This window comes from Homo sapiens, chromosome 1 (genome assembly GCF_000001405.40).
Source record: "Homo sapiens chromosome 1, GRCh38.p14 Primary Assembly".
NCBI classification, from domain to species: Eukaryota; Metazoa; Chordata; class Mammalia; order Primates; family Hominidae; genus Homo; species Homo sapiens.
This window is the reverse complement of record NC_000001.11, coordinates 6292696-6307128: the sequence shown is the minus strand read 5'-3', so window position 1 is coordinate 6307128 and position 14433 is coordinate 6292696. Positions and strand designations below refer to the sequence as shown.

At 53.5% G+C, this 14433-nt stretch overlaps 1 protein-coding gene across 5 annotated transcripts in view, besides 1 other annotated feature; it reads left to right on the top strand.

Annotated features, from left to right (window-relative positions):
• ACOT7 (acyl-CoA thioesterase 7) overlaps positions 1-14433 on the top strand; it is a 129496-nt gene that overhangs the window by 86639 nt on the left and 28424 nt on the right. For all 5 annotated transcript variants that reach the window (NM_007274.4, NM_181864.3, XM_047443399.1 and 2 more), the window contains exon 7: positions 12149-12265. In NM_007274.4, coding sequence (NP_009205.3) covers positions 12149-12265 — 117 coding nt within the window. The remainder of the gene's footprint in view (positions 1-12148; positions 12266-14433) is intronic.
• Positions 4718-5917: an enhancer, noted in NCBI's record as "P300/CBP strongly-dependent group 1 enhancer chr1:6361272-6362471 (GRCh37/hg19 assembly coordinates)". NCBI's record gives its function as "activates an origin of replication core promoter dependent on BRD2, BRD4, P300/CBP, MED14 and CDK7 cofactors, with strong dependence on P300/CBP, by STARR-seq in HCT116 cells {active_cell/tissue: HCT116}" and the evidence as "EXISTENCE:reporter gene assay evidence [ECO:0000049][PMID:35650434]".

Here is a 14433-nt window from a genome sequence, read left to right as displayed (position 1 = left end):
TTGGGAGTCAAACCTTCTGCGACAAACATCCATGCAGGTGTCTAGCTGCTGGGGAGCCAAACAACGCTGCTGGGGGTCTTGAGGCCAGGGGACAGCACAGCTTAGCCTGAGACTATAGGAGGAGGCAGAGGAAAGGGAAGGCAGAGAAAACATGGGAGGGGACGCAAGTGAGGCCTCCACCAAGACGCTCTTGTTCACTTGGTCTTCTTGGGGCAGTTGTGAAAAAACAATCTTTTGCACCTGCAGGAGGAGTTGACTTTCACTGAAAAATGCAAAAGAGGGCACAGTTACTCTTTTCCAATTCCGTGACCTTGTTTGGCCGGAGCCCCCACTGCTACGTGGGACACAACACACCAGACCCTCAGTGTTGGGGCAAGGAAGGAAAAAGGTGGACGAAGAGCTGTTCCCTACTCTTGAGGAACTTCTGGTCTAGGGGGATCAAGAGGTGAACAAACAAATGCTTTGGGACGCCGCTTTCTTCCTCGTGAAGCTGAGTGGCACAGGCTGCAGTTAAATTCCTTCTAGTACTCGCCTTCTAGGATCTTGGTGTTTGAAAACATCGTTCTCCAGGTTCTTCTGTTCTGAAGAACAGCTTCACGTCCATCCTGATGCTTCAGCGGGGGAGCGGGACGTGGGGACTGGTGAACTTGAACCTTGAACCCCGAGATGGTGTCAACCCTGAAAGCCTGGGCGTGGGGTTCATATCACTCCAGTCCAAGCATCCTATAGGCACCTGTCCCAGGAACTCACTTTGTCCTGCCCACACTGGGTCCTCCTCTCAGCCGGGTCCCTGGTGGCCAGCACGTCATCCCTCTCAAATCATGGGGCACTGACCCCTTTCCAGAAATATGGAGTATTTGGTTGAGGTCTTGCCATGAACCGTAAGAACGTCCTCTCCCTCTCCCCCTCCCCCTCCCCCTCTCCCCACGGTCTCCCTCTCCCTCTCTTGCCACGGTCTCCCTCTGATGCCGAGCCGAAGCTGGACTGTGCTGCTGCCATCTTGGCTCACTGCAACCTCCCTGCCTGATTCTCCTGCCTCAGCCTGCCGAGTGCCTGCGATTGCAGGCGCGCGCCGCCACGCCTGACTGGTTTTCGTATTTTTTTGGTGGAGACGGGGTTTCGCTGTGTTGGCCGGGCTGGTCTCCAGCTCCTAACCGCGAGTGATCCGCCAGCCTCGGCCTCCCGAGGTGCCGGGATTGCAGACGGAGTCTCGTTCACTCAGTGCTCAATGGTGCCCAGGCTGGAGTGCAGTGGCGTGATCTCGGCTCGCTACAACCTCCACCTCCCAGCTGCCTGCCTTGGCCCCCCAAAGTGCCGAGATTGCAGCCTCTGCCCGGCCACCACCCCGTCTGGGAAGTGAGGAGCGTCTCTGCCTGGCCGCCCGTCGTCTGGGATGTGAGGAGCCTCTCTGCCTGGCTGCCCAGTCTGGAAAGTGAGGAGCGTCTCTGCCCGGCCGCCATCCCATCTAGGAAGTGAGGAGCGTCTCTGCCCGGCCGCCCATCATCTGAGATGTGGGGAGCGCCTCTGCCCTGCCGCCCCGTCTGGGATGTGAGGAGCGTCTCTGCCCGGCCGCCCCGTCTGAGAAGTGAGGAGACCCTCTGCCTGGCAACCGCCCCGTCTGAGAAGTGAGAAGCCCCTCCGCCCGGCAGCCACCCCGTCTGGGAAGTGAGGAGCGTCTCCACCCGGCAGCCACCCCGTCCGGGAGGGAGGTGGGGGTCAGCCGCCCCGTCTGGGAGGGAGGTGGGGGGGTCAGCCCCCCGCCCGGCCAGCCGCCCCTTCCGGGAGGTGAGGGGCGCCTCTGCCCGGCCGCCCCTACTGGGAAGTGAGGAGCCCCTCTGCCCGGACAGCCGCCCCGTCCGGGAGGGAGGTGGGGGGGTCAGCCCCCCGCCCGGCCCGCCGCCCCGTCCGGGAAGGATGTGGGGGGGACAGCCCCCCGCCCGGCCAGCCGCCTCATCCGGGAGGTGAGGGGCGCCTCTGCCCGGCCGCCCCTACTGGGAAGAGAGGAGCCCCTCTGCCCGGCCAGCCGCCCCATCCGGGAGGGATGTGGGGGGGTCAGCCCCCCGCCCGGCCAGCCGCCCCATCTGGGAGGGAGGCGGGGGGGTCAGCGCCCCGCCCGGCCAGCCGCCCCGTCCGGGAGGTGAGGGGCGCCTCTGCCCGGCCGCCCCTACTGGGAAGTGAGGAGCCCCTCTGCCCGGCCACCACCCTGTCTGGGAGGTGTACCCAACAGCTCATTGAGAACGGGCCATGATGACAATGGCAGTTTTGTGGAATAGAAAGGGGGGAAAGGTGGGGAAAAGATTGAGAAATCGGATGGTTGCCGTGTCTGTGTAGAAAGAGGTAGACATGGGAGACTTTTCATTTTGTTCTGTACTAAGAAAAATTCTTCTGCCTTGGGATCCTGTTGATCTGTGACCTTACCCCCAACCCTGTGCTCTCTGAAACATGTGCTGTGTCCACTCAGGGTTAAATGGATTAAGGGCGGTGCAAGATGTGCTTTGTTAAACAGATGCTTGAAGGCAGCATGCTCGTTAAGAGTCATCACCACTCCCTAATCTCAAGTACCCAGGGACACAAACACTGCGGAAGGCCGCAGGGTCCTCTGCCTAGGAAAACCAGAGACCTTTGTTCACTTGTTTATCTGCTGACCTTCCCTCCACTATTGTCCTGTGACCCTGCCAAATCCCCCTCTGCGAGAAACACCCAAGAATTATCAATTAAAAAAAAAAAAAAAAAAAGAACGTACTTTTCTACCTGTGTACGGGTCGGATGGGGGTGTTTTTCTTTTCTTTTCTTTCTTTTTTTTTTTTTTTTGGTGCCACATTGTCCAGCCTGTGCTTCTCTCTTTAGCTGTGGTCGCCAGGGGCATGCGTGGCAGATACCCACTGACAACATTTCCCTGTTCCAAGTGATGAACACAAACCCTTCAAAAGGAGCGTCCCCTGGACTCTTGGAAGGAAACTGACACCCCACCAAAATTTCTGGGCCTTCCAGGAAGCGACCTTGCTTTGGTAGCCTCCAGGCTGAGGCCGCAGCCTCTCACTGGCCTGTCCTTCTTAGGGGTGGGCCTGGGGGCTCGTGTGTAGCTGCAGCCTCCTCTTGCTGGGGCCTCCATGGCAGTTGGGATGCAAAATCCATCTACCCTTTCTCTGCTTCCTTATTTTGAAAGTGAAGCATGGATACTCAAACATCAGGAAGCAGTCAAGACCTCCCCCCTTCCCTGCTTCAGACTCTATAGAATGTAAGGAATCAATGGGCGTGGGCAGCTCTTGGCCCTTCTCCCTGGGTCTATGATGCTCCCAGACGTCCGGGAACCACTTAGTGAATATTCCTCTGTCCATGGTCCCAGCCACAGAACCTGGGAGGGAGAGGCCAGGGCTGTCTCGCAGGTTCTCACTCAACTGGATCTTTTCAGAACTCTTGTAATTACTAACGGGTGGGGTATTTAAAACAAGATGAAGTTACTATCATTTTCTTAATATAGGAGGCCGGCGCCCACGCTCCGTCAGTTGGGATTAAATATAGAAATGGGGGCATCTCAGATTGCCGCCCACAGAACAGACAGCGGCACACGGGCTCCGAGCTGTGAACTGCCGCCTTGGGTTTGCAGGCAAGCCTGACCCAGTCACGAGCAAGGCCTTGGGAGAAGAAAATGAAGCCTTATTTTTAAGCCAGTTGACAGATCAATACTTAAAAACAAAAAAACACAAAACAAAAACCTATAAGCAGTTAAATGTTACAATTAAAAATACCTTTGGTACCTAACGTGTATACATTAGTGGCCAAGAAAGTCTTTTTTTTTTCCCCGTAATTCTTGAAATAAATGCAGCTCCAAGGACGGCGGGTCCTACAATTTTGTTGTCATCTTTTAAATTACAGATCTTGGGAGATGAGGACTGCCTGCGGTGGACTGTAATGTGCCAAAGTTATTTTCCAACGTTGGCAGCACCCGTTGTGCCTGCGGTGGGGGAAATTGATGAGGCTTTTCAGTAGGAACCTGGAAAGAAGCATCTTGGAAAAAACTTAGGCACTCGATATTTTAAATACAGCGGAAGAAAGTGAAAGGGAGACAGTGGCTTCCAGCGTCAGAAGCGGGGTGGCTCCCTCTGGCAAGGCAGGGGCCCAGGTGGACAGTGGTGGCAAGAAAGGCAGTTGTGAGGAAGGCACTATGTTTTTCTGGGTTGTTTTCTTAAAATTTAGTTTTCTCAGTTAACACATTGATTGTAGTGTCTTGTGTGTGCTGTCATAGACACAGGCATTGTGTGGTAGCAGTCTTTACACGCAGGACACGATGGGCACGTGGCTTTCTAATGATCTCACTTCTGCAGGGACCATCTGACCTCATTGCTCTCTCTCGGTGGCAGGTAACCAGCAGGCTTGGCACGAGGCCCTACAACAGGATGCCCAGGGTTGTGTCTCGCCGGTAGGAGAGGGCTTGTGATCAACAGTGGTTGATTAAAATCTCAGTTTTTATGAGATCACTTTCCTTCCCTCTAAGTAGCCAGCAGAGTTCAGCTGACACACAGACCATGGTTTTTCTATGTTTTTCTCAAGCCCACTGGATCGACACTAAAAAGTGCATTTGTGAAAACACAGACTGGGGTGGGTGGAGGCTGAGGCACTGGTTTTTCGCCAGGTCCGTCTTCTCGGGTGGGTTTCTGCTCCCGCCTCTGATCCTGCTGCCTCAACACCTGCAGGGACTGGGAGCCTTCGCTGTCGCAAGGCCAAACGCTTGGTTTTTGGACCGTTCTAAGTGTTTCCCCGAGAAAGGTTATCTCCTGAGTCGTAAAGTTGGCCTTGAGTTGGCCCAGGATCCTACTATGACTTCTCTGGGAGGTGCAGATGACCTGAAGTGGACAAAGATCCTTCCAGATGAGATCCTTTGGGAGCTCAGAGCCCTCCTGCCTGCTGCCCTGGCCAGTGTCCATGAGGCCAGCCCAGGTCTTGAAAGACCTCCTTGTCTGCCAGAGTCAGGATGCTACACCGTCCTGATTTCCCACCGCTCGTGAGTCACTGTTCCGGGTCCTTAGAATAAAACTCCAGGTGTGGGGTATAATCTGATAATAGACACACATGGTGGGATTACGACAGCCCCCCTGGCCTGGGCCCCAGAATAGCACTGACTCCATCCACCAGTCTTGGCCTTTTCCATCGTTAGTATAAAGTTGTTGTTTCATAGCAGGTCTGCCGCTGATCTAAACTCTGCGTGGTTTCCCAGGCCGGTGCGTGTGTGCTGGCTGCTGGGGCTGGAGGAGGCTGTCCCTGTAAATGTCACCGTCCAGCTCACACAGCAAGATCATTTTGAGTGTGGGCTTGGTTTTTTGGCCGGTCATCAAGCTCACCTGGCTTTGGGGTTTCTGGGACCGGATGAGCTTTTCCTGCCCTCATCTGTGACTAATTCTTGACGCAAATTGTTGCCTGAAGGAGCCACATACTTTGTGGCTGGGGCAGCTTGCTTGGGCTGGTTGTGACCTGTTAGTCAACCTGCATTCATTCATTGATTAATTCATTCATTCAGCAACCATTTCCTGAGCACCAGATGCCAGCTCTGTGTTGGGTCAGGGACACAGGGACAACGAGGCAGGTCCTCACCCAGTGCAGGCGTCCATGTCACATCATGCAGTGTGGTCTGGGGGTGCCGTGTGGAGCCTGCAGGAGCATGGGGGTGGTGAAGAGGGTATTCGCACACCAGGCACTCAATAGCCGCTCACATCTTCCCCTCGGGGTTGACTGTCACGTGCTTTGGATCCTGAGCGGTTTTCAGTAACATGAGGTCCCTTGTGGAGTCTCATACCAACAAGGTAGCCTTTTGGATAAATGGGGCAAACCCCGGTTTGAAGGAGCTGATTACAACTCCTTCCATTTATTCTCTCATTCTGCTTTTCAGGATGGAAGAACAAGGGGTTAATTGTAGGCACTTCCTAAGTTCTGAACATTAAATCCAACACGAACCCTTCCTTTCCCTCCTCCTTCCCCCACAGCTAAACCACCCTGAGTTGATGACACCAGCTGGTGGCCAGCACTGGACACTCTGGGTCTGTGACTTTGAACGCTCCTTCCTGCAATCATCTTGGGAAGAATTCCACTCTGGACTCGATGTCACAGGACAGGATGGGGAGGCAACATGGCATTGCCTCTGGTGGCCCAAGGTCAGGTCCGGTCCCATCCTACCCCTAGTGGTGTGACTTTGGAAGCGTGACTCTCCATGTGTCTGGTTCCTGACTTGTAGAATGGAGACAGGGAGGCTGCTGCCTCATCGGGTGTTGTCCAGTGAGACCCGGTGTTGGTCATTCTGTGTTTGTGGAGAGGGACCGGCCGCGCATCAGGATAGGGTGCTGTCCGGTGAGATTCCGTGTTTGTGGAGAGGGGAGGGGCCGGCCACACATCAGGATAGGGTGCTGTCTGGTGAGATTCCGTGTTTGTGGAGAGGGGAGGGGCTGGCTGCGCATCAGGATCGGGTGGGGTCCGGTGAGATTCTGTGTTTGTGGAGAGAGGCCGGCCACGCGTCAGGATCGGGTGGGGTCCGGTGAGATTCCGTGTTTGTGGAGAGGGCCGGCCGCGCATCAGGATCGGGTGGGGTCCGGTGAGATTCTGTGTTTGTGGAGAGGGCCGGCCTTGTGCATCACAGGATCGGGTGGGGTCCGGTGAGATTCCGTGTTTGTGGAGAGGGGAGGGGCCAGCTGTGAGTCATGGACTCAGGCTGCCTCAGTGAACAGACAAAGTTCACGGCTCATGGCACTGACTTTGCAGCCGAGTTCCTCTATGTGACATGCTGGGCCATGCCTGGCACCAGCTTCCCCGGCAATGCCAGCCGCTGCCCTCAGCATCCAGCTCACGGCCCCCAGCAGCATCAGGACCCTGTGTCCATGTGCTGTCCTGGCTCCTGATGCTAGGCTTTGGTGTCCCTTCCTTAAAACTCCTGCTTGTCCCTGGCTCATTTGTTCCTAGGAGGACCCTGACTAGCTGCTGGATGGCGACGTATCTCCCCCTGAGGAAGGCCACATATAGTGCACATTTGGTGATAAACTTCTCACATACTCCAGTTAACAATGTGTCTCCCCAGCACACACGGTCCTGCTGGAATCCTGCTGGCTCATCGTCATTCCTGTGCTCAGCTGTTGTCACTTCATCACCAGGTTGCCATTTTCTGAATATAAATGGTCAGCGTTTCATGGCAAATGCAGCTGGTCCTGGCCCCCATTGGAGGCTGACAGAGCTTCTGTTGGCTGCCCAGGGCAGTATTTAGAGTTGGTCTGTGGGAAATGCCGTGGAATTCCGTGGCACACCTGTGCTGGCTGTGTGTGTGAGTGGGACCACTAGTCCAGCTGTTGTGGTCACAAGTCAGTTTCTTTATGAGGCAGATCAACCTAGAAGAACTCAGTCTGTGGGCTGCAGCTCTGCCGCTACTAAGCCCCTTAAACACACGCACACACGTGCCCTACACACACACACACACACACACACACTTGCGCTCTCTCTCTCTCTCTCTCTGAAGCCATGACCTAGTACCTAGTCAGGAGGTGGCCGGGTGGGCCTCTCTGCCCTCTGTGTGTGGCGTCCGGTAAGGGGAGGCCGACTGTCCTCTGTGCCCTCTGTGTGTGGTGCCTGGTAAGGGGAGGCCGACTGTCCTCTATGCCCTCTGTGTGTGGTGCCTGGTAAGGGGAGGCCAACTGTCCTCTGGATCCCTCCTTTGCCCACCTGAGCCAAGTGTGTGGGGTTCTCAGCCAGCATGTTACCTGGTGTTCTGAGTTATTTCATTTTTCTTTCCTTTTCTGTTCAGCCTCCAAACCTCAGATCTGTCCCCAAAGCCCTAAATTAAATTAGTGTTCAGCTCAACAGATGTCCACCAAATCCCCACATCCCATGATAGCAGCTGCCATTGCTGGCAGCCACATGGTCATCCCATTTGCTCCTCAGTCACCTTGCCTGTGGGCGCCGTCACCTCCTCTGCCTGACAGACACTGAGCCCACGGCTCAGGGAGGGCAACCTGCCTGCCCAAGGTCACCCAGCCGGCAGTGGCGGAGGTGATGGGGACTCACTCCCAGCCAGGCTATGGCAGTGACTCTCACACTCTAGACGGGGACAGAGGGACTCAAGCCCCTCCAGGCATGGGCGATGGGGCAGGGGGATTCGCACCAGGCCTCATTCCAGACTCTGCTCCTGAACCACACTGTGGTAGGGGCCCACTCACAGGTGGGTGTGGTTAATTCAGAAGCTGAGGCTGCCCCCTCCAAGGAAGCCCTCGATATTGACACACGGATGATCCTATTCTGTTTTGTGTTTTCACTTCCTTGCCGTCCTGGGCTAGGGACCTGGCCCAACCGTCCTCTACCCTGTGAGGGCTGGGCTTGCTGGGCCTTTATGGAGGCCCCTTGCCATGGGAGAGAGACCAGGAGAGCCTGGTGGTGGCTTAGCCAACCTGCACCTTCTATTTCCAATAACAACATAAAACCACCTTGCAGAACTGTGAGAGCCAAGCCACCTGAAGCCCAGAGGTGCCCTGCCCTGCCTGGCACCCGGAGCGGCATCTTATTTGCCTGGGGGAGAAAATCCGCTGCCTAGGATTCTTTCCCTTGCCAAACAGCTATTTTCCCGGTATTTCACCTGCACTCTTTCTTCAGAATCGGACCTCCATGTGACTTAGGGCCTCCGTTGTTCATTTGAAAATGGGGATGCTGATTGAAAAATGGAGATGCACCTGGGCGCAGTAGCTCACACCTGTAATCCCAGCACTTTGGGAGACCAAGGCAGGTGGATCACTTGAAGTCAGGAGTTTGAGACCAGCCTGGTCAACATGGTGAAACCCCGACTCCACTAACAATACAAAAATTAGCTGGGCATGGTGACGGGCTCCTGTAATCCCAGCTACTTAGGAGGCTGACACAGGAGAATCGCTTGAACCCGGGAGGCAGAGGTTGCAGTGAGCCAAGGTTGCACCACTGCACTCCAGCCTGGGTGACAGAGAGAGACTCTTTCTCAAAAAGAAAAAGAAAGACGGGGATGCTGATGCCCCCAGCACAGGTTGAGCCGAACAGATGCCCCAGGTGTTTGAAAGGACAGGCGAAAGTGCAGCGAGCGTGAACCTGGCCCCTCCTCCCCTCACCTGTCCTACCTCATTTAGCAGCATCTTCTTATAGCTTCTGTGGGAAAAGTCATGGTAATAAAAACATAATGCTTTAATCAATAACACCCATGTCTCTGTTTTAGCTTTTTATTCTGGGAATGCTCAGATATACACAAAAGCAGAGTGTAGAGCATCCCAAGCCCCTGGGTATTCGTCTCCCAGCACCAGCAATGGGCAACACCTGCCCGTTCCTGCCTCACCTCTTTCCCACTGCGGTATTTCGAAGCAGATCCCAGATATTGTATCTAAAAGATAACTTCCTACCTTGAACACCCACAATAGCGCTATCACATCCTCCCAAACACACTTATAAGTCCTTAGTATCGTCGAATACCCAATCACTGTTCACATCTCGCCAGGTGCTCATCTTTTTCTCTAGTTGGTAGAGTCCAGATGCCCACAAGATGCGTGCCTCTCATTAGGTGGATGTGTTTCTTGAAGAATGGGGTCCCCATGGGGGGCGCTAGGTAGGAGCTGAGCAGCAGGGGGCCCTGGCTGGCCTCTGCTCGGGGCCCCCACTAATTCTGCTCTTTCCAGCTTCACCTGCTGGATGCTGTGGGCATTTGATTCCCACCCTAAACGTGACTGTACAAGTCTGGTTTTCGCTTGTGGGATGGAGTCTGGTTTTCTGCCTCTCTCTGGGTTTATTAGGAATCATTCTGTGTCCTTGGCTGGGTGCAGTGGCTCACACCTGTAATCCCAGCACTTTGGGAGGCCGAGGCAGGCAGATAACCTGAGGTCAGGAGTTTGGGACCAGCCTGGACAACATGGCAAAACCCTGTCTCTACTAAAAATACAAAAATTAGTTGGGTGTGGTGGTACACATCTGTAATCCCAGCTACTAGGAGGCGGAGGCAGGAGAATAGCTTGAACCTGGGAGGCAGAGGTTGCAGGGAGCTGAGATTGTGCCACTGCACTCCAATCTTGGTGACAGAGCGAGACTCCGCGTCAAAAAAAAAAATCATTCTGTGTCCTAGGGTGAATGTACATAACTTTCTAAAATTTCTAATAGGTATTAAGTTGGTTAATATCACTTTGCTGCTTTTGTAAGTCAAATATTGTTGACTATTGGCAATTTCATGTAGTTCAACCTAAGTAAAGGTACATTTTAAATTTTTAAGTGAAATAAGAGTCAGGAGCGGTGGCCTACTTTACTCCTGTAATCCCCACACTTTGGGAGGCTGAAGCAGGAGGATCACTTGAGCTCAGGAGTTTGATACCAGCCTGGGCAATATAGCAAGACCCCATCTCTGCAAGAAAATAAAAAATAAATTAAAAAGTTATGGCCAGGTGCGGTGGCTCATGCCTGTAATCCCAGCATTTTGGGAGGCTGAAGTGGGCGGATCATGAGGTCAGGAGTTCAAGACCAGTCTGGACAACATAGTGAAACCCCGTCTCTACTAAAAATACAAAAAATTAGCTGGGCATAGTGGCACGTGCCTGTAGTTCCAGCTACTCGGGAGGCTGAGGCAGGAGAATTGCTTGAACCTGGGAGGCAGAGGTTGCGGTGAGCGGAGATCGCGCCAGTGCACTCCAGCCTGGGCGACAGTGCGAGACTCCGTCTCAAAAAAAAAAAAAATTAAAAATTGAAATAATTGTAATATATGTGTTGTACCAGGGATGAGAACTGGGGGTGGGGGACCAGCATGTGCACAGTGGTGGTCCATCAAATAAGAGAGACTGAGTAAAAGCGGACATCTGCAGCCCGAGTATTCTCCAGTATTCTTTCAGTGAGTCTTTGTTTGTTTGTTTGATATAACAGCTGTACTGACGATGATCCACATACCACACATTTCACCTATTTAAAGTGTACTGGCCTGGCTCAGTAGCACGACTGTAATCCCAGCACTTTGGGAGGTGAGGTGGGCAGATCGTTTCAGTCCAGGAGTTCGAGGCCAGCCTGGGCAACATAGCAAGACCCCATCTACAACAATATTAGCCAGGTGTGGTAACATGTGCCTGTCATCCCAGCTACTTTGGAGGCTGAAGTAGGAGGATCACCTGAGCCTGGGGAGGTTGAGGCTGCGATGAGCTGAGATCACATCACTGTACTCCAGCCTGGGTGACAAAGTGAGACCCTGTCTCAAAAACAAAAATAAAGTGTACAAGTTGTTGATTTTTTTTTTTTGTATTTGCACAGAGTTGTGCAACTACTATTGCCGTCAATTTGAGACCATTGTCATTACTCCTACAAAGAGACCCTGTACCCATTAGTGGTCATTCCCATATCCCCCTAATCCCTTATCCCTAGGGAACCCCTAATCTACCCTCTGTCCCCATGGACTTGCCTCTTCTGGGTTTTTCCTGTCAATGGCAGCATACAGTGTGTGGTCTTTGGTGTCTGGCTCCTTTTGCTTGCATAGCGTTTTCAAGCTTCATTCCTAGTGCAGCGTCTATTGTTCCGTTGTATGGACAGGCCACATTTTTTTTCTCCATTCATCATGTATGGACCTTTGAGTTGTTTCCACTTTTTGGCTGCTATGCGTACATGCTGCTGTGAAAGCTCTGTACAAGTTTCTGTTGAACATGTATTTCTTCTGGGTATCTGCCTAGGAGTGGAATTGCTAGGTTATACGGTCCCTCTGTGTTTATCCTCTTGCGAAACTTCAAACTGTTTCCAAAGTACCTGCACCTTTGGCTCCCACTGGCAGTGGAGGAGGGTTCCAGTTTCCCCCACATCCTCGCCAGCACGTGCTGTTCTGTGACTTCAGGATTGCAGCCATCCCAGTTGATATTGTAACAAAACTTGCCCAGCAGGGTGAGATATCTGTAGAGGACAGGAAAAGGGCTGTTTTGTTAGTGGCTTGGCATATCAGCCATGGTCGTTTTTTTCAAAATCTCCTGAGGAAGCCCCATGTAGCGCGTGAGCCACAGCACGTGCGGCCGAGCACCCTGCACCCCTGCTGGCTGCGGCCCTTGCTGGTGGCTAGTGGGAGGGGAGGGCTCGAGTTGTAACTTGTTTCCAGGGTGTGAAATAATCTCCTCTGCCTCCGTGTCTCATCTGCCGCATGTCCCTTTCTCCGCAGGTGTGACCATGAAGCTCATGGATGAGGTCGCCGGGATCGTGGCTGCACGCCACTGCAAGACCAACATCGTCACAGCTTCCGTGGACGCCATTAATTTTCATGACAAGATCAGAAAAGGTAACCACTCTTCTGGCAAAGACGAGGGAGGCAGTGGCCCTCGGCTGCTTGGGTCCCTGCACCAGTTTGTTTTCTGTTCACACCCAGGGTCATGTGGGCCTTGGTGTGTGCCCATCTGCCACAGGGAACAGGAAGCTGAGGTTTCTTTCTTTGTCCTTGCTGTTTATTGACTTGATGTTTCAATCTGGTAAAATCCTTGACTCAGATATGACGGGGCCATTATCCTCCTAAAGACCTGCCTAAACTCACCCTCTGAAAACGCTCCACAGACAGAGCTCTGGGAAGGTCCTGTGCCTGCAGCTGCCACGACCCTGGACACCAAACCTCATGGCAGCACATTTCATTTTGGGAGCGGAATTAATGATTCATGATTTAGGCAGTGGCAGGGTCAGTACAGAAAAGCCCGCAGGAGCCCCTCCTCGGCCAGCCCTGCCCACGCCACCCAGGGCAGCACTGGCATTGGGTGGTTTTTCTCCACCACAAAAATCCAACCCCAGCCACCTGGCCCCTGCCTGGAAATGGTGTCAGCTGTCCCTGGGGTATGTGTGCCAGCTTGACAGGCCAGGCCTCTGCAGTTTGTATGAGCAGAGGTCACCATGCTTGTCTTATGTGACTGCTCTCTGCAGAAGTACAGTGAAGTGCACCTGACACGTGGTGATTTTTGTCAGTGTGACGTCTGCTGAGATGAGGCCGTGCACCCCCTGCAGCAGCACTGCCTCACAGACCGAGGGTGGTGTCAGCATCGTCAGGGCCTGGTGCTGATTCTGAGGACACCACCTCATTAAAGCGGCTTGTTGGAGGAGCTGTTGGCTGAGACCAGCCCCTTGTCGTGGGAAGCGAGAGTGGAAGAAGTGCAAGCTTGGCTCTCCTTGCCACAGCTCCTGCCCACCAGAGCCTGAGCAGGGGCAGACTCCCAGGCCCCGGGTAGCCCAGCCTTGGTGCTGTCTCCGGCAGCTGCTACTGCAGAACACACCTGGCAATGGGAGACCCTGGACTAGGGCAGAAGCACCTAAGATTGGAATGGTGGAGGGCTGCCTCCCTCCCTGGAATTACTGAGAGAAGGCTAGGCTCACACATGCTGGATTTTGGATGCTTTGTGGTAAGGAGAAGGAAGGTCTCTGGCGTTGCTTTCTTCCACTTTGCAGAATCCTTTTCTTTTTTCCACAACACGATCTTATTCTGTCACCCAGGCCGGAGTACAGTGGTGCAATCCCTGCTCACTGTAGCCTTGCACTTCCGTGCTCAAGTGATCCTCTCACCTCAGCCTCCCAGGTAGCCAGGACTACAGACATGCACCACCACAACCAGCTAATTTTTGTATTTTGTATTTTTTGTAGAGACAGCGGCTCACTCAGAATCTTTTCTTGACCAATAGATGTTTGCCACAAACATAGACCACAATGTCATTTTAGAATCTGCCCAAAACAAGTGGGTCCTCTGTGTTTTAGCTCGTCCCCCACAGGCCTGTGTGGTGCGTGACTCTGCAGGAGAATCTGTGGCATCATATTCCATGCTATTTTTTCTAGGACTCCTGCCTGGGTAAATCACGATTAGGGTGACCTTGTGAAAGACGGATGCACAGCCCATAGTGGGAAACGTGCATTCCATAGGACTTGCCGTGCTCAGTTGTCCCTGAGTGTCCTTGGAGAACCATCAGGAAAGAAATAGACTTTCTGGCTGAGCGCTGTGGCTCACGCCTGTAATGCCAGCACTTTGGGAGGCCGAGGCGGGCGGATCATGAGGTCAGGAGAGCGAGATCATCCTGGTTAACATGGTGAAAACCTGTCTCTACTAAAAATACAAAAAATTAGCCAGGCGTGGTGGCGGGTGCCTGTAGTCCCAGCTACTCGGGAGGCTGAGGTAGGAGAATGGCGTGAACCTGGGAGGTGGAGCTTGCAGTGAGCCGAGATCGCGCCACTGCACTCCAGGCTGGGCGACAGAGTGAGACTCCGTCTCAAAAAAAAAAAAAAAAAAGAAAAAGAAATAGACTTTCCAGCGAAGCACAAAACACAAAAATTAGCCAGGCTGGTGGCAGGCACCTGTAAACCCAGCTACTTGGGAGGATGAGGCATGAGAATCGCTTGAAGCCAGGAGGTGGAGGTTGCAGCGAGCCAAGATTATACCACCACACTCCAGCCTGGGCAACAGAGCAAGAATCTGTCGCAAAA